Genomic DNA, 25,394 nt, shown 5'->3' on the forward strand with positions numbered 1-25,394 from the left:
AAGAAAATGAAAAGTGATATTGGGCAAAAGAATCAGGTTCATAACTGCAAAAATGTTTTGTTTCAATGTTGGGTGGGTTATGGGGGGGAGCGAGTAAAACATCTGTCAGAAGTAATTTGACTGTAAATTAAAATAGAACTCAAAAGGATGATAAATTTAATTTATATTGTGCTTAACATTATCTGGTGTTTACTGTGCCTTTCAAAACAACTTAGGATCTTTGGAAAACATAATTAGAGAAAAATGTAACTTGGATTAGCATGTGGCTAGATGATTTTTTAAATGAAAATGAAGATGCATTTTATATGAATTATTTTCTTTTCACATGGCTAATCAAGGTTAGTTTTTCATTCTATGAAGAATCTGGAGGTAGGCCGCATGACAGCAGTGTCCTAGTGAGCTAAGAGCTTTGAGTCAGGGTCTGACTCGGGCGTGTGAGTTTGGATCTGGAAAAACAGCGGGTGCAGTGTTTAGGGGAGTGTTCCCGTGGCTGGGCCGCAAGGCCTGAAGAAACTTGCTTAGTGGTTCTGGGCCTCTGAGCCTCATCTATAGAAGGAGGCTATGATGAAGCCTACCCATAGGGCTTCTGGGGCTGAAACGAGCTAATGATGTCGAAGCTGCTAGAACTGTACCTGTGTCAGAGCGAGTGTGCAGCATACGTTATCATCACTGTCATCACTCCAGCATTCTGACTGTGCCTTTAAACTAGTGTGGGATTTTGCCCAAACCTCTAAACCCTCCCCTAGCCGTGGTTTCCCCCGCAGTCTGAAGACTCTAATACTTGACACTCGTTCAGAGAGATGTTTGGGGAATTTATAGACACTTAACATTTATGCATCCTTATATATCGGGTCCAGGAGGAATTACAGACACTTAAACCATTACTGCCTTCTTCCTCAAAAGAATAACAGCTTTGGTAACTGGGTTAGCAGAGGTGTTAGTGGACTTAGGGTTGTAAACAGATACTCATGGCACTGACATCGATGAGTCTATGAGGGAAATTAGAAAGATAAATACATCTGGGATGTAAACTCGGAAAGGCGAGGCTGTTCAAAATGTTGGTGCTATTGAATTGTGATTCTCGGTGTTTGTACATTGCTAATAATGTTAAACCATGAAGCCTGTGAGATCTTGTGTTGCAGCGTGGTTTGGCCCTAGCGTTCTTGCATGCTAACCTAAGGTAGAAGATTAGCAGCCTGTTTGCATGCAGCCGGATGCTGCCCCTGACGTGAAGCATGTTCTGGGAGGTTGACCCAACCTCCTTTGGCTGTGGCCTCATTCACCCCGTCCTGTCTGTGGCCTCATTCACCGTGGTACGTGTATAACTACTTCCATCATTCATTTCACTAACCTGAACGATCATTCTTCAGTTTAGCAATGTGCTGAAAGGCGCGGCACGCGGATTCACCTAAACCTGTGTCTTTGTGATTTCTTTAGATATTAGGTTGAAAAAGCTGGTTGATGAACGGGAATGCTTATTGGAACAGGTAACAATCTTTTTATTACTTTACCGGTTCATGAACAGGGCACCTGAAACCACCTGCCCATCCTTCCTTCTTGCTTACTCAGAAAACCCCTAAGTTAATCATGTCTGAAAGTCTTTATCAAGCCAACTGGTGTTCTTAAGATTGCTATCCAAATAGAACATCAAAGTTAATATTTTCATCCAAAGAGAACATCCTGAGTCATATGAGGTTTAATAAGGATGTCTCAAAGACCCAAAGCCATGGAATTGAATTTGGTACATTTTACTGAATTGCTGCTTAAAATAAATATAAATGTTGATTATTAATAATATTAATGATTAACTGTTGAGAGACAAGAGCATTACTGAGTCATTCCAAATAGCACTTCTCTTGTCCATATGGGTTGTTTGTCCATAAAAGTCAGTTTTGTACTCTTGGTGATCAGCACCCCTCTCTCACAGGTGTTTCTTTGTTACAGCTAAACAAAGTTGTTTTAACCATGTTTATCTTCATTGCTCTCTCCTACCTCAAGAAGTAGCAGGCCAGGTGCAGTGGCTCACACCTGTAATCGTAGCACTTTGGGAGGCCAAGGCGGGCGGATCACTTGAGGTCAGGAGTTCAAGAGCAGTCTGCCAACATGGTGAAACCCCGTCTCTACTAAAAATACAAAAATTAGCCGGGTGTGATGGTGCGCGCCCGTAATCCCAGCTACTGGGGAGGCTGAGGCAGGAGAATCGCTTGAACCCGGGAAGCAGAGGTTGCAGTGAGCCGAGATCGCACCACTGCACTCCAACCTGGGTGACAGAGCAAGACTCCATCTCAAAAACAAAGAAACACTGAACAGTTATCCTATCTGATCTTTTTATATGCAGGATAGTGATTAAATCACTCTACAACCACTTTCCTCTAATTTCTCCTCATAAGCCTAATCAAATGTATTTGCCTTACTTCCTACCATTCTGTTGAAGATTCTCCGAAAATTGGAGAAAGCACTAAATATGGTAGGAAGATTCTCTTGAAGTTCCTGTGATCTTTTGAAACTGCATTCCTGAGTTCTATCCTTACTTCCTTAAAGCAGCATGCACTTTTGGTTTGTTGTTAATCAGGGGTCTCCTGTGCTTGGTGTGTGGGGTAGGAAGGCAGGTGATCACCTGCAACAATTCTTCACAGATTGGAAGTTAAACATGAAAAGCCCCCGGAGACCCCACGAACTAGATGCCAGAAAGTTCTGCAGTCATTGACTGTTAACTGCAATTCCAACTATACGGTCAGCCCTCCATATCCATGGGTTCCATATCCGTGGATTCAACCAACATGGATTGAAATATTCCAAAAAAAAAAAAAAAAAACCCATAAATTCCGCAAAGTTCCAAAAAGCATAGCTTGAATTTGCCCTGCACGGAGTCCTGCACTGAATCCACACAAATGAAGTGAGTTGTAGGCGTTGGGTATTAAAAGGAATCTAGAGGTGATTTAAAGTGTACCGGAGAATGCAGGTAGGTTTCTGCAAATACTGCACCATTTTATATCAGGGACTTGAGCATCCACAGATTTGGTGTCTGAGGGGTCCTGGAACCAATCCCCCCCCCCCCCCGCCCAGATACCAAGGGACAACTGGACATGTTTCTGTCTTGCTTAGAGAGGGGAAAGCTAGCTAGAGACCAACTCCCTGAAAGCTGGCAAACCGCCTCTGAACACACCTGCAGCTGGCCTGGACGCTGAGAAAGCACTCGACTTTTGGGGGACTTAATTACAATATATTGGAGCCCAGAAGGCTCCAAGTGGCCCTTTCTGGTTTCTTAGTAAATAAAGAGAAAGTGAATAGCATGGTGACTTACTGAGTCTTAAACATTGCAGGTATTTCATGTACAGTCTCCTCCTGAGTCCTAGAAGAATTTCACTTTAGAAATGACTTTTCTCTCAGAGTTACAGTGTAATTCATTTTTCATTCATTGTACATTGAATTGTGTTTCTGAGAAGAGTACTGATGGACACAAAGTGCCTTCTGTCATTTGACATGCTGCTTCCTTTCTGATGGGCTCTAACTTCAGCTTTTCGGTCTCATTCAGAGTAGAGAAATTAACAGATTTTACTGGCGGGTGTTTTCAGATTAAGAAACTCAAAGGGCAGCTGGAGGAGAGACAGAAGATTGGCAAACTAGACAATCTTCGATCTGAAGATGATGTCTTGGAAAACGGGACAGACATGCATGTAATGGACCTACAAAGTAAATGTCAATTCTTGTGTAGAAGTAAATGCTTTCACATGTGCTGTTTTAGTATACTTGTGCTGGCAGAGAAAACTGTCACGGCAAAGAATGCCCTCATTCCCTCACATCCCCACAAAAGCCCTTAAAAATAAAAGCACAAGGAGGGGTAGGTAGACAGAACAATGGTGTTTCTCTCTGAGCCTATGAAATAGAACAGGTACCCAAAAACGTGCACCAAGATACCACCACATGTTGTGCCGATGGAAACCACATTTACTTTGCTGGATACAGCAATCTTTCGATCTGTTGATTGTATGAAAAAAAAAAAATGAAAGGCTTTTTTCATGCTAATAAACTAGAAACAGTCTTAAGGGAGATAAAATTATGCCCAGTCTCTCTCCGCCCTTTTCCCTACCCCCTACCATCTCTTTGTCTTCTTCACTCATAGGCACTCTCTTGCCTGAGGTTTCCTGCCCCAAGCACAGGGGCGGAAGGCACTTTCCCTGGGTTCATGGGGAGAGAGTGCCTTCTCCTACTCTCAGCTCTGGGAGGTTGTGGAGGCAGGGCCAGAACTAACAGATTTGTGAGATGATTACAAAGTAAGGGCTTGGTTCCCAGTAACTATTGTTTTAATATTTGAAAAGCCCAAGAGCTTAACAGATTTTCCTTCTCTTTCAACCTTTAGGGGATGCCAACAGACAGATCAGCGACCTCAAATTTAAACTTGCAAAATCTGAGCAAGAGATAACTGCATTAGAACAAAATGTACGTGTAAGCAACAACGGGCAGAACTGATGATTGACTGGAGTTTTACTTGCTAGAAATAGCCCTGAAAGGCTGAGGACCAGAAAAAGCCGAGATTTTTAGAACCAAGAAATGTCCTAAGAGGGATAAGTTAAGACAGCAAGTCTTTCCATCCGTTTCTTACAGAGCAAGCAGGAAGGAAAGAATTCTTAGAATTTAAGTTGTTACAGTAGATACTAATCCTTTATCAACAACAGTTAGTTGTAGAAAATAGCTAATGTGGCTTGGGAGTGTTTTAAAATTTTGTTCTTTAAAATTAATTTAGTTAATTGGCCGAGCGCAGTGGCTCACACCTGTAATCCCAGCACTTTGGGAGGCTGAGATGGGTGGATCACTGAAGGTCGAGAGTTCGAGACCAGCCTGGCCAACATAGTGAAACCCCGTCTCTACTAAAAATACAAAAATTAGCCGGGCATGGTGGCAGGCGCCTGTAATCTCAGCTACTCAGGAGGCTGAAGCAGGAGAATCGCTTGAACCAGGGTGGCAGAGGTTGCAGTGAGCCGAGATCACGCCACTGCACTCCAGCCTGGGCAACAGCGAGACTCTGTCTCAAAAATAAAATAAAATAAATAAATAAATAATGTAGCTAATTAAAAAAACACATCATACTGGGACGTCCCTCTTGCCTGGGCTTTTAGCCTTTCTCTTGCAGCGAGGCCCGCCCTCCCTGGTGTCTAGACATGGGGCACTCCTGCCTCTAGCACCCTGGGCCCTAGGGCAATTTGTGTTCTAGCCAGAAAGAGAGAAAAAAAACAGGACTGTTTCCCCCTCCATTGTGGGTGTACTTGGCTGGAACTTTTTAGAATGTTTATAGAAACAAAAATGAGAACAGCACAGGTAGAGACGATGTGTGCTTTTGATTGCGGCAGAGTGAAGGTGTCCAGCAGGCCTTCGCTGCTGCCGTCTTTCATCTCAGAACCTTGGCTGGGGAATGCCATGCCGAAGCCGCCTCCTTTCACTCCTCGCCCTGTCCTTTCCTCCTCCCACCCCCGCCACCCCAGGAGAGATTAGACTGGAGCTGAGGTCGTGGCGGAACACGTCCCTTACCAGCACCATTCTGCCTGTTCCAACAGAACAGCCCCACGCAGCGGGAGAAGAAGCAGGCAGCAAGGTGCCAGCACTGCAGAAACCACCCTGGTGGACGGGGTCAGAGGAAATGGGTCCCCATCATGTCAGCACAGGGTCGCCCAGAAATAGTAACCAAGAATAGCTTGCTTGGCTCAAACCCACACCATAGTCCAAAATGTTATAAGTATTTACATGGTGTATTCTCCCATTTTATTAAATCACACTCTTTGATCTCAAAGTAAAGAAACTGAAGAAAGAAAACAGGCTTATCAATTTATACATATGGTTTTTTTTCTACCTTTTAGGTAATAAGGTTAGAGAGTCAAGTATCACGTTACAAATCAGCGGCTGAAAATGCAGAAAAAATAGAAGATGAACTTAAGGCAGAAAAACGGAAACTCCAAAGAGAGGTAAATTTCCTAGGCAATTTCTAGGAAGAGAATGGCTGCCAGTATTTCTCTAGTGGGGACGGTACAGAGAGGATTTACTACTGTGACATCTGCCCCTGGGCTGGTCATTGTCAGATCATCCCACACCACTCTGCAGTGCCGGTGTCTTAATAAAGGAAGGCATGGCGCAGCCAGTTAGGGCTTAGGGCTAGACCCTTGCTGGCATCAACTAGTTCATCTGTCAGTTTTGAGCATCTCCTATAGGTCTTGTCCGTAAACGTCAAGAGAATGAGATAAAGGAGTAGCCAGGCCTCTTATGCTCCGAATATTTTTTGTGTCATGCAGAATGAGCCCAGGTGGAGGACCAGGAGCCCATGGGCCTGCTGTGGCCAAGAGCTGGGTGTGGCACCAGGGCCAGGCCACAGCTGTCTCAGGTCACCCTATGGAGAGTGCCCTTGAGAAGCCGAGCTGCTGTTACTCCACCTGCTGGTCACACTCCCAAATTACCATGCTTGCCAATTAAAACACATACTTTACCTTACTGAAGACACTTGGCAAAGTTGTTTGTTCAACAAATATTTACAGCACCCGTTGCATGCCGGGCACGGGTTCAGGTGCTGGAGATGCAGCTGTGACCTTACAGACAGGAGTCTCCGCCTCCATAGAGCCTGTGCTCTGGAAGAGGGAGGTCCATAAAAGTGACCACAGGCAGGAGAGGGGCTGGGGTGCGGAATGGCCCAGGCCAGGGCAGTTCTAGGTAGGTGGCCAAGGAAGACTTTCCTTCTTGTGGCATATAAGGACAGGCCTGAACAGCCCAGGGAGTGAGCCAGGCAGAACTGGGAGAAAGCCTTCCGCGCAAAGGATCAGCACGTGCAGGGGAGCTCGGGGCAAGGCACTGCCTTTGTCAAGGAACAGTCAGAGCGGTGGAGGCCAAGTGAGCAGGGGGTGAGGGGGTGGAGGGAGCAGTGAGAGCACCTCAGCCCGTGAGGCAGGGCCCTGGAGGCCATGGACAGGACTTGGGATCCTCCTGTGCATAAAGTGGGAGCTACTGCAGGGTTTTGAGCAAAGGAGTGGCTTATGTTGATTTATGTTTCAATAGGATCACTCGGGCCGGGCGCGGTGGCTCACGCCTATAATCCCAGCACTTTGGGAGGCCAAGGTGAGCAAATCGCTTGAGCTCAGGAGTTCAAGACCAGTGTGGGCAACATAGTGAAAACCTGTCTTTACATAAAGTGCAAAAAAACTAATTAGCCGGGTGCGGTGGCCCGTGCCTGTAGTCTCAGCTACTTGGGAGGCTGAGGCAGGAGGATTGCTTGAGCCTGGGAGGTGAAAGCTGCTTTGACACATGAGCGTGCCACTGCACTCCAGCATGGGGCGACAGAGTGAGACCGTTTTTCATTAAAAAAAAGGAAAGAATCACTCATTTTATATTTAAACTGTAGGAAAGGGACTGTGGAGGAGAAACCAAAGATGCCATTTCTCTCCTCTTTATTTTATTTATTTATTTATTTTATTTGATTTTATTTTATTTATTTATTTTTTTGAGACGGAGTCTGACTCTTGCCCAGGCTGGAGTGCAATGGCGCCATCTCGGCTCACTGCAACCTCCACCTCCCAGGTTCAAGCCTCCCACCTCAGCCTCTCGAGTAGCCGGAAATACAGGCACCCACCATCATGCCTGGCTAATTTTTGTGTTTTTGTAGAGACGGGGTTTCTCCATGTTGGCCAGGCTGGTCTTGAACTCCTGACCTCAGGTGATCCTCCTGCCTTGGCCTCCCAAAGTGCTGGGATTACAGGCATGAGCCACCATGCCTGGCCCATTTAACCTTCTAGCCTACTTTTGCTATGGTCAGAGAACATGGTCCCTGTTATACCTGGTCTTTGAAATTTGTCAATACTTGCTTAATGGCCTGATACATGATTCACTTTTGTAAATGTCTCCAATGTGGTTAAGAAGAATGTGTAGTCTCTGATTTATGGATGCAAAATTCTGTATACTTCCACTGATCAAACTTGTGAAGTGTGCATTCAGATCTGATTTCTTTTGTCTGCTTAAATTCTCAGTAGCTGATAGAGATTTGTCAAGCTCTTCCAAAAGATGATGGTGGATTTATCTCATTCTCCCTATTTCTCCTATATATGTTGAGGCTATTGATACTAGATGTTTAAAATTCTGATATCTTCTTGATGAGTTAAACCTTTTATCACTTTGTAGTGACCCTTTTGGTCCCTGCTGCTGTTGACCTTGTCGGGTATTCACGTGGCCGCATCAGCTTTCTTTTGGTTAGTGTTTGTCCACTTCTGATTTTTGCATCCCTTGGCTTCCAGTCTTCCGTGTGTTGTTATGCGTTAGATGATCTCCTTCAGATGCACATAGCTAGGTGGCGGTGGCTCTTAGTTGAATCTGGAATCTGTGGATCTTAATAGAGCCCTTAGTCCATTGTTATTGGTATATTTGGACTCGTTTTCACCATCTGACTGTGGATAACCATTTGTTCTGTCTTTTGTGTGTCATTTTTCTCTTGCCAAATTTAAATTTTATATTCAATTTCTATTCTTTTCAGTGATCACACATGGGGTATTTTTATTTAACTTAAAAAAAAATTAAAGTTGAACACTATCTTTACTCCCCTCCTATAAAATAGAAGGACTTTTGAGCACTTTAGCTTCACCCTCCTGCCTGGCATGCACACCCTCACACATATGTGTATATGTGTATATGTATATGTACACATGTACATCCACACATAAATACTTTTGAGCTTCATAAATCCCACTTATCAGATAATACTATTGTTGTGTTGTTGTTGCTGTTGTTTTATATTGCCCATGTTTGTTTGACATAACTACATATTGGCCATTTTATATGTCTGTCCTGCTAGTGTCTCAGACTGTACTAGAATCATTTTCCTCCTCACTGAAGTACATACTGTAGAAATTCTTTTAGAGCAGACTTCTTGGTGGTGAATTCCCTGTTTTTGTTTGTACATGTTTTCGTTTCATCCTTGTTCTTGGACAGTAGTATTCAGGGACATGCAATTCTGTGTGGTGGTCATTTTCCTCAATGATTATAGCGATTATGCCACCATCTGCTGGCTTCCATTGAGCTGTTGAGAAAGTTGTTGTTTTAACGGTCGGTCCTTTGTAGGGACCTTTTTTTTTCTTCTCTAGTTTCTTTCAGGTTCTGTTTGTCTTTGATTTTCTACAGTTTTACTGTTAGATGTAGTTTATTGGAATCTTTCTGCTTGAGATATATAGTGTTTCTTGGATCTGTGAAGTCTTTTTAAAAATTGATTTTGGAAAATATTCAACCATTAACTCCTTAAATAATTCCTCTTTTTTAGTCTCTCCACTTTCCCCTCTGGAACTCTAATCAGAGGATGTTAGAGATTCTCATTGTCTCCACATTTTTTAACCATCTCTCTTTCATGTTTTCTATCTCCTTACCTCTCTCTATTGGATAATGCCTAAAGTTTTTGCAAAGATTTTCCAGTTCACCATTTTTTTTAAAAAGTGTCTTCATTGTTGATAGTTTCTTGCTGCATGTTCATGTATGTCCTCTTTTTAAATTGTATTCTTATTCTTTAAATATTTCATACACAGCTGTTTGGTTTTCTGTATCTGACAACTGAAACATGCTCAGTCTTTGGGGGTCTAATTCTGTCATTTATTGCTTCTGTTGACTCTCACTCAAATGGTTTGTCACCTTAGTGTTTTGTGAGCTTATGCTTGATTTTAATTTGTAGGAATAACTCCAGGCTTAACTTGTGGAAACTTCCTGCAAAAAGGGCTTGCTTCTGCCTCTGCTAGTGAGGTGGGGTCGGGACTTCTGTCCCAGGACCCAAACAAGCTTCCTTGAGTGTTTTGGGTCGAAAGCAGAGCCATAGACCCTGTTCTTGTCACCCCTCCAAAACCACGTTCTCCCAGCTTAGGGCACCCCACTCTGCCCTGCTGCCTGTGGGTCCAGATGATGCCCTGCTAATGTGGCTTCTGCAGCTCGTCTTCTGCCTGACTCTCAGGCTCCATGGCCCTGGCTCCCAGGTGTGGCCGTCTTGGCCTCAGGCATTCCTGCCTTGGACTCTGGCTGCCAGGGCTGTGGGGACCACCTTCGCCATGCAGTCCAGGCTCAGCTCTTGTTGTTTGTGTTTGTTTACCTCATGCCTCACTTACCTTTTGTGAAACCATCAGGATCCCCACTGGGCGTGTGGCTCACGCCTGTAATCCCAGCACTTTGGGAGGCCGAGGTGGGTAGATCACCTGAGGTCAGGAGTTCAAGACCAGCCTGACCAACATGGTGAAACCCCATCTCTAATAAAATACAAAAAATTAGCCAGGTGTGGTGGTGTGCACCTGTAGTCTCAGCTACTCAGGAGGCTGAGACAAGAGAATTGTTTGAACCCAGAAGGCGGAGGTTGCAGTGAGCCAAGATCACACCGTTATACTCTGGCCTGGGTGACAGAGCGAGACTTTGTCTCAAAAAAAAAAACAAACAAAAAAAGAGGCCGAGCGTGGTGGCTCATGCCTGTAATCCCAGCACTTTGGGAGGCCAAGGCGGACAGATCACGAGGTCAGGAGATCGAGACCATCCTGGCCAACATGGCAAAACCCCGTCTCTACTAAAATACAAAAAATTAACTGAGGGTGGTGGCGCACACCTGTAGTCCCGGGAGGCTGAGGCAGGGGAATCGCTTGAACCCGTGAGGCGGAGCTTGCAGTGAGCCGAGATCACGCCACTGCACTCCAGCCTGGGCGACTGAGCGAGATTCCATCTCAAGAAAAAAAAAAGAAAACCATCAGGATCCCCAAGGGTGTTCCCTCTCTGGAGTCCAGTTGTTTCAGAGGAGGAAGGGCATCATGAGGGACCAGGGGCCAAGTTATCATTTTATTTTTCAGTAGGATTGGAATTTCGGTAACACAGAACCCTGTTATGTTTGGAGGAAACAAGTTCCTTAAAGCTCACTGCCTTTCCTCCGTTCCCAGCTCCGCTCTGCATTGGATAAAACAGAAGAGCTCGAGGTGAGCAACGGCCACTTAGTGAAGCGTCTGGAAAAAATGAAAGCAAATCGGAGTGCACTCTTGTCCCAGCAGTAAATTCCAGCTCTGATCAGGCAACTGGTTGGTGACTGGAGAGCATTGTTTCATAGGCTTTTCTCTGTCCTATCTGGGAGCGCTGCTTCTTCCCCTGCCTTCCGAGAGACGAAGACCGTGGCGAGCTTGGCGCTTAGGGGCTCCCGTGCCATGGCTCACCCCAGGGAGCCCCAGCAGCCACCAGGTGCCTCTGTCTGCAGACCCCTGGCCCGGGCTGGCGCCGACGCTCAGAACCTGCAGGTACTTCATAAGCACACAGGGGCCTCGAGGGAGCTCTGTGTCTGACCGCACAGCAGCCTCTGAATGCCGCTGGAAGTGATGATCAAAGTAAAGATTCAGTTGGGACTTGAGTTTTTTTTTTTTTTCATGTGTCTTGCTGAAGATTAAGGGGAAATGTTACAGTGTTGGGACTTCCTTTCATGGCAGAATCTACAATTTGAGCGACTTCAGTAGTATCTCTTAGTCTACGCTTTTCATACACAAAACACTGTGGAACCACAAGCCATTACCAAGCAAAACTCTTTCACTGGAAACAAGGGGGCAGTCTAGAAGTAAAAGTGACCTTAAGAAGACTCTTTACAGGCAACAAATGAAGCTTTTCTAAGGGATTTTTGCATCAGTTCAGTCATAAGAATACTTTTTTCCAGGGTAATTAGGCAATAGCTTCACTGAAAATGACAGCTTTTCATTGCATTATTTAATCCTTATATTTGGAATTGAAGTCGTTAACTTCTTTTAAAGAATGTACTATTAGAAAAATTAAAAATGAAATGTTGAGAGACTTCAGCAATGTGGTTCTAATTTTTTTCCACTGAGAAAGAAGATCTTTAATTTCATATTAATGGTTCTGTATATTTTGGGTCATCTTTTTATTTTTTAAGAATATCAAGTCAATTCATTTTTCTTTCCCTATTTAAAAAAAAAGGTGTTTTCACAGAATGAGTGCACTTAAAAAGTGAAGTGAAGGAGGAGGTAACAGTAGAGACGATGGCAATATCATCAAGGACAAAAGTAAAAACGTTTAGCTACCTGCTGATTTTTAGTGACTGTTCATATATGTTGTATTTCAAGTATGGCTGGTGAAGCCAGTCAGCTTTTCGGGACGTTAGCAAGTGGAAACTGAGTCAGTATCATCCAAAACCATATCTAGTCTTAACACATGGAGAATGCTGGAGTGAGGGTTGTGAGTTCAGGGTATATAATCAAGAAAACACTCCCAGCATAATGCTAGGGGTCACCAGTGTCCATCCCCCAGAACTGTATGGATCTAGGATATACACAGCTGCGTTGCATTAAGAAAGAGATGAAATCTCTATTAAAATACACAAGATTTTTGTATCTCCTTGTGCAGAGGATATTTGCCACTGCCCATTGGGAAGCAGACAAGTTATAGGGGGCTGGGGGCCAACACTGGCAAGTAGGAAACCACGGGTCGGACAGGTGAGCAAAATGTGCTGGCAGGTGGGCACCACTGGGAGACCCACACTGCACACCCGGGCACCGTATGAACAGGAAAGAGGAAGGAAGCTGGACGAAGCCCCTCAGGGACCCTGTGCTGACCATGCTGGGCCCACCGGCAAAAGGGAGATATTCAGTTCCTTGTCTCATCCTTAAGGTTTCTTCCACAACATCTGAATACAAGCATGTTTAACTGGGAAAATGTCTATGTCATGCGTGAATAACACCAGCAGCAAACACTCACACATCACGCAGACACGGCCGGCAGCATGCTGACGCTTTTAGGTATTTTTCACTCATGCAATTTTCACATATTTTCACTCATTTCATTTGCACGGAAATTCTATGAGGTAGATGCTGTTATCAAATCCACATTACAGATGAGGGACCCAGGGTCCAGGAAGGTGAACTGGCAGAAGTCTCCCAGCTGGTAGAACAGGGCTGCAAGGCATCGATTCCCAGGTGTCTCACAGCCCTGAGAAGATGGCGTTTTCCCTATCAGTGGCTCTGAGGAAGTCAAGCCTTCAGTCTCTACCTCTCCCACCAATTCTTTTGGAAACAGCAAACCAATGTTACACACACTTCCTAATCCAGAGGAAGCTAGAACACGATTTTTAAATTTATTTAGTAAAATAAAACTTTTTTTGCAGATGTAACGAATGGAAATTGGTTGCTGGCTTCTTTCATCCCTGCAACCTAGCGTTTCTCAGCCTCAGCACGACGGTCGTCTGGAGCTGGGTCGTTCTTGGTGGCTGGGGTGGCTGTCCCCTGCACCGTGGGATGTTGAGCAGCAACACTGAACTCTACCAACTCATTGCCAGTAGACCCCACTCCCGGTCATGACACACAAAAACATCACCAGACATTGCCAAATGTCCACTGCGGGGGTGAGGGGCGTGTAAAAGCGCCTCCCATTGAGAACCACTGCTGTAACCTGAATTAGAAGATTTGGAAAAGAAATGGTTGAAAACCCAGACCAGGATCCCTGTTGTATGTTTCCTATGAATGATTTTCATTTTTAGAAATGAAATAACATCTAGGACATAGAGCAAAACACTCAAAACACATCATAAATGGATAACATAAATAGATAAAAATCCAATGCAGTTCAGAATTACAATCAAATGTTATTTTCTCTTGTGTTTTAGAATTCCTCATTTTCATAGTCAAAATATCAACTAAAGCATCAAAAGTTCCTGTTGATATTTTTGAAAATGTGTTACTACTTAGCAAATTTGGATTTCTGGTTTGTACAGTGCTGAGCCCTTGAGGAATACCAGAAGAATGCACACCTTAAGGAGGCTGTGGTTTTCAGGGAGAGAACAGCCATGCATGAGGATGGCCATAGCAGAAGGCGGAGGGGTGGGGAAGTGCCAGCTGTTAGCTATGTGGAGCCAGCCAGTTGCAAATTTTCAAACCGGCAGAAGCATCTGTTGTGTTTCACTAAATGACCCGAGCCAGATGTGGCCCACGTGTTCCCGAGCCTGCCTGAGTATCTGAAGGGGATAGAGCTGATGTCCACTGACCTGCCTGGCTCCCTGCACCTTCAGCCACATTTCGGAAGCACTTGCTACCCAGTGTTAAGGATGTGCGGAGGCTTAGAGGATTCCAGCTCTGTGGTCAGGGCCTTTTGCCCTTGTGTCCAGGAGCCTCCAGGGCTAGCTCCCATCACTCAAGGACTGGACAGTTGTCCCTGAACCCCAGCCCTGTACTTGCTGCCATGCCCCTCGATGCTGCTGCCTAACCACTTGCTAGTGTGTATCTCCATGTATGGCCAGCCCCCCACCCCTGCCAGTTCCCCCTTGCTTGCTTCTTTCCCCTCTCTGCCAGAATAGCTCTGATCACCACTTGTGGATGGCTCCTACCTGGTCCCCAGGTGCACTAAATGCTAAGCAGGTCCTGAGCTCCACTGGCCCTGAGTGAAGTTGCACTGTCTGTGGCTGGATTTGTCTCTTCCAATTGTCCATCCTCTTGGGTGGCATAGAAACAAGAACATCAGAGACTTGGGAAGAGAACTCTGAGCTAGAAATATCTGTTGGCTGGGTGCAGTGGCTCATCCCTGTAATCCCAGCACTTCGGGAGGCCAAGGCGGCTGGATCACGAGGTCAGGAGATTGAGACCATCCTGGCTAACACGGTGAAACCCCGTCTCTACTAAAAATAGAAAAACAAACTTAGCCGGGAGTGGTGGCAGGCGCCTGTAGTCCCAGCTACTCGGGAGGCTGAGGCAGAGAATGGCATGAACCTGGGAGGCAGAGCTTGCAGTGAACCGAGATCACACCACTGCACTCCAGCCTGGGCAACAGAGCGATACTCCATCTCAAAAAAAAGAAAGAAAATATTTGAAGTTTATGTTAATACTTCCTAAATCCCAGGGGGCTGCTGTATTAGTCTGTTTTCACACTGCTGATAAAGACATACCTGAGACTGGGCAATTTACAAAAGAAAGAGGTTTATTGGAAGGTGAAAGGCATGTTTCACATGGTGGCAGACAAGAGAGCTTGTGCAGGGAAACTCCCTTTTTTTTCTTTTATACTTTAAGTTTTAGGGTACATGTGCACAATGTGCTGGTTAGTTACATATGTATACATGTGCCATGTTGGTGTGCTGCACCCATTAACTCATCATTTAACATTAGGTATATCTCCTAATGCTATCCCTCCCCCCTCCCCCGACCCCACAACAGGCCCCAGTGTGTGATGTTCCCCTTCCTGTGTCCATGTGTTCTCATTGCTCAATTCCCACTTATCAGTGAGAACATGCGGTGTTTGGTTTTTTGTCCTTATGATAGTTTGCTGAGAATCATGGTTTCCAGCTTCATCCATGTCCCTACAAAGGGCATGAACTCTCATTTTTTATGGTTGCATAGTATTCCATGGTGTATACGTGCCACATTTTCTTAATCCAGTCTATCATTGTTGGACATTTGGCTTGGTTCCAAGTCTTTGCTATTGTGAATAGTGCCGCAATAAATATACGTGTGCATGTGTCTTTATAGCAGCATGATTTATAATCCTTTGGGTATATACCCAGTAATGGGATGGCTGGGTCAAATGGTATTTCTAGTTCTAGATCCCTGAGGAATCGCCACACTGACTTCCACAATGGTTGAACTAGTTTACAGTCCCACCAACAGTGTAAAAGTGTTCCTATTTCTCCACATCCTCTCCAGCACCTGTTGTTTCCTGACTTTTTAATGATCGCCATTCTAACTGGTGTGAGATGGTACCTCATTGTGGTTTTGATTTGCATTTCTCTGATGGCCAGTGATGATGAGCATTTTTTCATGTGCCTTTTGGCTGCATAAATGTCTTCTTTTGAGAAGTGTCTGTTCATATCCTTTGCCCACTTTTTGATGGGGTTGTTTGATTTTTTTCCTGTAAATTTGTTTGAGTTCATTGTAGATTCTGGATATTAGCCCTTTGTCAGATGAGTAGATTGCAAAAATTTTCTCCCATTCTGTAGGTTGCCTGTTCACTCTGATGGTAGTTTCTTTTGCTGTGCAGAAGCTCTTTAGTTTAATTAGATCCCATTTGTCAATTTTTGCTTTTGTTGCCATTGCTTTTGGTGTTTTAGACATGAAGTCCTTGCCCATGCCTATGTCCTGAATGGTATTGCCTAGGTTTTCTTCTAGGGTTTTTATGGTTTTAGGTCTAACATTTAAGTCTTTAATCCATCTTGAATTAATTTTTGTATAAGAAACTCCCGTTTTTAAAACCATCAGATCTCGTGAGACTCATTCACTATCATGAGAACAGCGCAGGAAAGACCAGCCCCTATAATTCAATCACCTCCCACTGGGTTCCTCTCACAACATGTGGGAACTGTGGGAGTTACAGTTCAAGATGAGATTTTGGTGGGGACATAGCCAAACCATATCAGCTGCTATACTGGATTTAGTTGTAGGAGGCAAGAATAATGGTGGAGGAGGCTTCTTTCTGTTTGTGTTTAGCCTTCTGGACCCACCACCACCACCACCACCACCACCACAGGCACTCAGGGGTCCCACCGAGTCTGCCTTCTGAAGACAGCTGATACTGTGATCTTGAACAAGTTGTACCCCACAGCTAATTGAGATGTGCTGAGTTTTTCCCCTGCTTGAGTTGCTTTCATTTAAATTTCCCCAACCACCAGCCTGCTGCCCCAGGGAAAAGCCACTCAGCTTCACCACTCTGGCCTGCTTGGACTTTCTTCCTTGGATTTTCCTAGGCTGCCTTAGCCACACTGGAATTTTGTAGCAACTAAGAGCTGTAGTTTTTCACCCACCATGGTTTTGTTAAATGTGGTTTTAAGGTAATGTGGCTTAATATTTCCATATCAAAAAATTTAAATCCACTCTCTTTTAAAAATCTAGGTCTAACTCCTAAATCTGGGTCTAGATGCCATAAAAGAACAAAACAATGATGGTTTCCTCTCTCGTGGACTATATGGGCAGCCTGTGGGGTAAAGAGAGAAGCTGTCTGTTGCCCTAAGTACCACAATTTAGCACAGGCAAGATTTCACATGGGAGAATGCAAAGGTAAATACATTCATATTACAGCAGGAAGGGCAAGTTTGAAAACAAAATTTGTGAGAAACCCTGACTTAAATCTGCTAAATCTTATCTCAGAAAAGGCAGTTGCCTCACTCAACATGAACACCTGAAGCAGCTGAGTCAGGGGAAGATACAACTTCAGAACAGGTTCCTAATACCCAGGAATCTCGTTGTGTTAGAAGCAGATGTCTTGTCTTTACTGTGATTTTTAAAATATATTATTTTTGTTCTTATCCTAAATACCTCTGCGTGTGTCTGTTTCCATGATTTTATCAAGAGTGACTTTTCAGATTTCCTGCAAGTTGGCCTCTCTAGAGTTTATTAGAATAACTCTCTAAATATTGATCAAGTACTTACTCAAGCACTAGGGGTTCAACAGTTCTGTTCCAGTGGGGAATGCAGACAATAAACCTGAACGTGAGTGAGTAAGATTTTGGATAATGAAAGGTACTATGAAAAAAGTTGAAAGCAGGTAGTGGGATAGAGAGCGAGCTAAGGCACATGTGGTCAGGAGTGTGTACGTTTGGGGAAGTTGCTGCTTTAGCTGTCTGGTTAGGAAAGGCTTCACAGAGTAACATTTAAGCTAAAACCTGAGGATGAAAAAGTCCTGGCTATTTGAATGTCTAGAGCAGCACTGTCCAATAGAAACATAATATGAGCCATATATGTAATTTTAAATTTTCTAATACTTATATTTAAAAAAAATAAACAGATGAAATTCATTTTAACAATACACTGTATTTAACCCAATATATCTAAATTATCATTTTGCCATGTAATACACATTTTAAAATTGTTAATATTTTATGTTTTTTAATAGCAAATTTTCAAATCAGTATATATTTTGTATTTACAGCATATTTCAATTCAGGCAAAGTTTTCATGATAAATACTTGATCTGTGTTACTATTTCATAAAATTAAATAGAACACCAAAAAAATCATTTTTCTTTTTTTTCTTTTCTTTCTTTTTTTTTTTTTTTTTTTTTTTTGAGACAGAGTCTTGCTCTGTTGCCAGGCTGGAGTGCAATGGCATGATCTTGGCTCACTGCAACCTCTGCCTCCTGGGTGGTGGGAAAAGTTGAGGCAGGGCTTGCATGTCTGACATAATGTAAAAGAGTCTTGGAACACGTCCTGGGTCCAAGGTCTAAAACCCCTCATGGCCTTTGGAACACCAAGCTCTGTGCTAAAGAGTGGAAGGCTGCCCTGCCGTACCATAATCTAAGCCCAGGGCATAAAACCCCTCGTGGCTTGGATGGAATCCAGGACTCAGGGCAGAAAACCCCTCGTGGCTTGGATGGAATCCAGGGCTCAGGGCATAAAACCCCTCGTGGCCTCTGGAATGTGTCTAGACTTGCTGGCTTCTTGCTTCTAGCACTCCCAGGCTCATGGATTGATTGTATCTTAGACTAGAAGAACATGTTCCCCATGATCTCAAGTAGCAGAACATGTTCTATATGCTTCAAAGGGAATGCTAAACTGTCACAGCTATAGATCATATGCTTGATGCACCGCTACCTTTCAACCCCCACATCCTCACCACCTGTTTCTTTGTTTGATCACCAATAAGTAGTGTGGGCTTCCAGAGCTCGGGGTCTTCACAGCCTCCATACTAGCGTTGGCCCCCTGGACCCACTTTATGCACTCCTAACTTGTCTCATTCCTTTGACACTGCCAGACTTTGTAGCCCCCACAGCCTGGTGTTGGGTCTGGCCACCCCAACACCTGGGTTCAAGCAATTCTCCTGCCACAGCTTTCCAAGTAGCTGGGACTACAGGCATGTGCCACCACGCCCAGCTAATTTTTGTATGTTTAGTAGAGACAGGGTTTCCCCATGTTGGCCAGATGGTCTCGATCTCTTGACCTCATGATCCGCCTGCCTTGGTCTCCCAAAGTGCTGGGATTACAGGCATGAGCCAACGTGCCCAGCCCATTTTTCTTTGATAATTACACCCATGTTGATAAAACTGGTTTATGTTTTTCAGAAGAATTGTTTGACTTTAAAGCAAAAGCAAATGTTTCAAAACTACATCCAAATTAAGTAAATCCATCGACTCTTGTGTTGATTCAGGATTATTAACATCAAGTTCAAAGAGATATCGCATAAATTGAAAAGCAACTCTAAATTTATCAATGTCAACAAAGTATTCTTCAAATTTTTCTCGTAGTTTTTGGAACTAATTATATACCTCTGTTGATTATACTTAAAATGATACACATATTGATGCATGTGTTAAAATCATTATTATTGATGTGTAATTTGAAAATTTCCATTTCAACATAAATCCTTATACCTGCTTAGATCGATTACATATAAGTGTCTTCTTGGCGCTTCATATTTAGCTCATTTATACGTAATATAATATTAGTGAAAAAACACTAATCACATTGCCAATTTCTTTAATTGTTGAATATTTCACAAGTTTCTTTTCATTTCAAGAAAATTTTGAATTGAAGTTAACAGAAAGCAAATCTTTGTAAAACTCATGACTTAACCAATGAGCACTGGCAAAGAGTGCAAGTTCATTAAATTCATTGTCTTCTATTTCCACAATATATTTTTTTTAAGAGACAGATCCTCTCTCTATTGCCCAGGATGAAGCGCAGTGGCAAAATCACGGCTCACTGCAGCCTCGACCTCTGGGGCTCAGGTGATCCTCCCCCCTCAGCCTCCAGAGTAGCTGGGACTACAGGCATGTGCCACCATACCTGGCTAATTTTTTTGTTTTACTTTTTGTAGAGATGGGGTCTCGCTATGTTGCCTAGGCTGGTCTTGAACTCCTGGACTCAAGCAATCCTCCCACCTCAGCCTCCCAAAGTGCTGGGATTACAGATGTGAGCCACCACACCCAACTATTTGAACAATTTCATAAACTGGTGATTCATAGCATTTGTCTGTGTATAGTGAATGATTTTAACAACCATCTCCATGACTCTTTATAGAGACTGCTTTAGAAAACTAAGCACAAATATTTTCAATAGGTACCATACAGTGAAATGGAGCAATAAAGGAAACATCAGTCTCTCGTTTTAAAATGCCAGAAAATTTGTATTTTTGACCTAACATATCTGGAGCATCATGATAGAAACTAATGTTTTCATATCTCATTTCATATCTAGCTGAAGTTCTTCTCTGACAGATGTAAAGATTTTTAAATATGCATATCACAAGTTCAATTTTTTAGGTTGAAAAATTTACATTTCTTTGTAAGTTTGGAAATCCCTTTAAACAGAATGTACCCAAAGTATTAATTGGATTATCTTTCTTACATTAAATGACTCATCTGAAACTAAAGAAATAATTTTGAGTCAATTGATCTTTGGTATCGTTAAAAAGTTCTTGTATTATACAGGCAATTGTATGGTGGCTTAACTAGAGATTCTTTACATGAAATGTCTTTTAGTTTTCCCCTCATAACTTTCTAACAAAATGTCCCTAACTGAAATAATTTTTATTATATCTCTATCTAAAACGATTTTGTCTTTTGTGCAAGGATCCAAGCCATTTCATTGTTGGCCAAAATTACAGACTCCGATCCTATAAAACATCACTTAAAAATTTGTGGGGAGGGGGTGCCAGGTGCAGTGGCTCATGCCTGTAATCCCAGCAGTTAGGAAGGCTGAGGTGGGAAGATGACTTGAGCCCAGGATTTGAGACCAGCCTGAGCAGCATAATGATACCTCATCTCTACAAAAAATAAACAAAAAGTAGCCACGTGTGGTGGCACATGCGTGTAGTTCCAGTACCAGGGAGGCTGAGGTGAGAGGTTCACCTGAGTCCAGAGGTCGAGGGTGCAGTGAGCCAAAATGATGCCACTACACTCCAGTCTGGGCAACAGAGTGAGTCCCTGTCTCAAAAAAAAAAATTGTTTTAAGTTTTTGGACATTTAATTATAAATTCAGGTTACTAATTGTGTCAATTCGATTTGAACTATTGAGAAGAAACTTTTTACCAAATTCATTGTGTAACATGTATTGTTGTGTGACAAATTAACCCAAAACTTAGCCTCTTAAACAACAAATATTTATTATCTCACACAGATTCTGTGGATCAGGAGTCTGGAAGTGGTTTAGCTGGGTATTTCTGGCTCAGGGTCTCTAATCAATAAAGCTGTCAGCCAGGGAAATAGTCATGGGACGGTTCACTGGGAGTGGAGAATCTGGTCCAGGCTCTTTTGTATCGTTATTGCCAAGCCTCCTCATTGGCTGGAGATCTGAGTTCCACACCACAGGGACCATGGACCTCTCCATAGGCTGCTCATGACCTGGCAGCAGAGAGAGAGAGAGAGAGAGAGAGGAGAGAGGAGAGAGAAAGAGAGAGAAAGAATAGGAAAAAGAGAGACAGCATGCGTGAGAGAGGGAGAACCCAAGGTGGAAACCAGTCTTTTTAAACTTAACCTTGGAAGTAACAGCTCATTACTTCGGATATTCAAGGGGAGAGAAATTAGCTCCATTTCTTAAGGAGAAGAGTATGAAACAAATTTCGGACATGCTTTTTAAGCCACCACACTATTTGCTGAAAATGTCTCGTCTCTTAATATTGTATCTTAATATTATCCTTGAACATTTTTTATATCACAAACCAACTACGTTTTCATTTTGTTCTTCCCAGAAAACTACAATTGCTATTCATTGTGGAATTTGTAACGTACCTTCTCCCAGGCTCTTTTTTCTTTATTGTTCCAGTCAGTGTTTGCTTCTATATCTCTACTTGATTCTACATCAGTAGCATGTCTTTGTTTTAAAGCTATAAGATTATCCAGAGTTATTTTTGAACTAGTAAAATAATTTAATTATGGTCAAAATAAACCTAAGTATTCCAATTTCAATACCACATATAATTTAATGTGTTTTACTATAACTTGTGCTGTCTGCATATAATATTCAAATAAACACATTGTGATGTTATATTGGTACACAGAAAAAAAATCTGCACTGAATCAATCCTTTGACACCAAATAGATGTGTTTATGTATAATAATAGGAATGACAGACATGCCTGACTCACACACTACAATATACAGTAAAGTCGTACATGATGCAGCAGTGAAAGTGAAAGTGAGTGTAGTCCCACCAAAACAATAAAGTCAAAGAGGAGGGCCAAAGAGTTCTGTTTAGGCCACATCAAGTTTGAGAAGCTTATGAAACATTAAAATGGCTGTGCCATGAAGCAGTAGGCACTACCGTGACCACCCTATCTAAAACTGCCAATCCGGCCGGGTATGATGGTTCATGCCTGTAATGGCATGGTGGCGCTCACCTGTAATTCCAGCTACTTGGGAGGCTGAGGCACAAGGGTCACTTGAACCCAGGAGGCAGAGGTTGCAGTGAACCAAGATTGCACCACCTCACTCCAGCCTGGGCAATGAAGTGAGACTCTGTCTCAATAAAATAAAATAAAATTCCAATCCTTCAACAATTCCTGTCCCTTTTCTTGATGCGTTTTTCTCACCTTAGCACTGTCTAACATACAATAAATTTCCCTTTACTGCCTGTCGTCCCCTGCTGGAACGGAAGCTGCATGGTCGATGGTAGGGAACTGAGTGTGGAACTCAGGGAATAGAACCAGGTTGGAAATGTAGATCAGGAGTCGTCAGCAAAGATGCAACTTTCAAATCTTGAGACTAGACTTTCTTAGGGGGAGGGTGTAACTAAGTAGAGGGCACAGGAAGCACCTAGAACAATCTAAAAGGGATTAGATAGAGGAGGAGAGGCCAGGAAAGGGCACTGAGGATGATGGCAAAGGGTTACGTACTAAGAGATGCAAAAGGCAATACAGAGTGTAAAAATACAAAGCCAGTGCAGCTGACGAAGCCAAGGTTTCTGACATAAACTGAACTGCGTGCCTCCCTCCCACCTGCCCCCACCAGCATGCTCCTCTTCCCCAGATCCTCGGTAATACAAGCGCACCTTCATCTATGCCACCAGCCTGCTCAGAAGCCTCAGTGTTCTGTTGGCCCTTTCCTCTCCCTCATCCCCCCTCCACTCTCATCCTATCAATTCCACTTCAGATCTCCCATGTCTATCCTTTTCCCATTACCATCTCCAATGCCCCTGGACCGGGCCATCATCATTAGCAACCTGTCCTCCCTGGTCTTCACAGTTTCAGTCTTCTTCACAGTTCCCATGAAACTCAACTTGTAAAAAACCTGATTATGTCACTACCCCCTCTCCAACTATAATCATTTTTGTTCTTTGCAATAACTCATTGAAGCGGGTACTCTTATACCTCCATTTTATAAAAGAGGAAACTAAAAAAATTAGCTGGGCATGGTGGCACACACTACTTGGGAGGCTGAGGCAGGAGGATGGCTTGAGCCCAGGGGTTAGAGGTTACAGCAAGCAATGATTGCCACTGCACTCCAGACTGGGTGACAGTCTCAAAAAAAAAAAAAAGATGATGATGATAAAGAAAGAAAAGAAATAAAGGGGGCACAATGGAGGGTCCTACAGTAATATTATTTTGGCCCTGGTCGTAACCACTCTACTGCACTGTGGGGTCAGGAGCCATGTCTCTCTTGCTCAGCACTGTGGCTCAGTGCTTACAACACTGCCTGGTACACGATGCTCAGGAGGAGATAGCTGGTGGTTTGTCTTCGTTGTCATGACAACTAATATTACTGTCAGTCATGTGTTTCCCAACATGTTTTATCATGAACCACTAATTTCTTGGAATGTTAGGAGGGGTTCTAAGTAAATAGCTCTATAAACAAATAGCCTTTGGTAACAGTTAAACAGGTGATGAGTTTACTCATTGAGAAGCATCTTTCATTGGGATTCCTTAACAGGGAGACAGATTAGGTAACATTTCACAAACTTTGAACATGGAACCCGTTTCTTCACAGAGCCTTCTGGGATCAGGGCTCTGCAGAACACATTAGGAAATGCACTTCTAGCCTCCAAGTCAGGCACAAGCATTTACGTTCCTAGCCTGAGTTCCTATTCCCAAGCCTGCCTCCAGGGGACCCCCCACTATCCCTCCCTGCAATGTTGTTCAGAGTCCAGAGAGCAAAATTCCATTCTCCTCTCACTACAGAAAGCCCTGGAAGTTGCAGATGTGGGCATGTGAGGCACATGTCTGCTTAAGAGGATGAACCCAGGAGGGTCTTCAGCTGTTCTTCAGGTGTGGCCACTATGTTTCAAGACGACCAGCAAAACTACAGCTTCATTCACTGAACCACTCATGCCTTACCCTCTTCATCAAGGTTTCTTTGTTCCACCATTTTTCCTACTTTTAGAGCCCTATGTTCTTCTCTCTCTGGAGCTGGTTTATCCAAATATATGAAGGTAGAAGCAGAAGGGTTGATTCGCAAACTTTCATAAATGAGAATAATATATTTGTTATGTTATTGATTTGGTTGGTCATAGCCTTCAGTATGTTTTTGACCAAACTAATATGTTTATGGGGGTTGGGGACAGGGTAAAGAACAGGAAGAGTTTTGATGGTCTGCTATCTGCTGAAGTCCAGCCTTACTTATCAATATAGATGGGAAACTATAGATCCTGAAAAGATTTCATAAAGACAAAGCAGACAGAAATAGAAGGGTATTTCTGCAATATTGTTAAAAATACTATCTCAAACAGTTAACATCACATTTGGTAGAAAAACAGCAAATTGACACATTTACATTTAAATCCAGAAGAAAAAAGATGCCTTGAAGCCCTAAACTTTAGCACTGTTGTAAAGTTTCAGACAGCACAGCAAAACACAAAATAGTAATAAAATATTGGAAAACGGGCAACATAAGTATTGTACTCAATTGCAAAACTACAGATGATGTAATGAGAATTCCTTAAAATACTAGGATATGTGATCAATATTCAGAAATGAATAACTTTCCTATATATCAAAACTTACCAGTTAGATTTAGAATATCTAACTAAAGATTAGTTCATTAGGATCTCATAATCACAAACAAAAACCACCCAAAAGACTGGGTACGGTGGCTCATGCCTGTAATCCCAGCACTTTGGAAGGCTGAGGCAGGCAGATCACGAGGTCAGGAGATGGAGACCATCCTGGCTAACACAGTGAAACCCCATTTCTACTAAAAATACAAAAAATTAGCCGGGCGTGGTGGTGGGCACCTGTAGTCCCAGCTACTTGGGAGGCTGAACCTGGGAGGCGGAGCTTGCAGTGAGCCGAGATTGTGCCACTGCACTCCAGCCTGGGGGACAGAGTAAGACTCTGTCTCAAAAAAAAAAAAAAAAACCCCACCCAAAAAAAGCCTCCCACACAAATTGAAGCAATAATAATAATCCTAAGAAATAGAAGAACCTACATTAGGAAATCTATACATTCTGCTGAGATACAAGACACGAAAAACTGTAGAAAGATGTATGGTAAGAATAAATATCATAAAGATATAACTTTCACGTT

General features: G+C 43.2%; 1 protein-coding gene across 14 annotated transcripts in view; it reads left to right on the top strand.

Moving 5' to 3' along the window:
* The window catches only part of LRRFIP1 (LRR binding FLII interacting protein 1), a 154,057-nt gene extending 140,919 nt beyond the window's left edge, over positions 1-13,138 (top strand). For all 14 annotated transcript variants that reach the window (NM_001137550.2, XM_017005257.3, XM_017005260.3 and 11 more), the window contains 5 exons: positions 1,438-1,487; positions 3,576-3,693; positions 4,361-4,440; positions 5,853-5,957; positions 10,917-13,138. In NM_001137550.2, the coding sequence (NP_001131022.1) occupies positions 1,438-1,487; positions 3,576-3,693; positions 4,361-4,440; positions 5,853-5,957; positions 10,917-11,027 (464 nt within the window). In that variant the 3' untranslated portion in view covers positions 11,028-13,138. The remainder of the gene's footprint in view (positions 1-1,437; positions 1,488-3,575; positions 3,694-4,360; positions 4,441-5,852; positions 5,958-10,916) is intronic.
* The last annotated feature ends 12,256 nt before the right edge of the window (positions 13,139-25,394 follow it).

Source organism: Homo sapiens, chromosome 2 (genome assembly GCF_000001405.40).
Source record: "Homo sapiens chromosome 2, GRCh38.p14 Primary Assembly".
Lineage (NCBI taxonomy): Eukaryota > Metazoa > Chordata > Mammalia > Primates > Hominidae > Homo > Homo sapiens.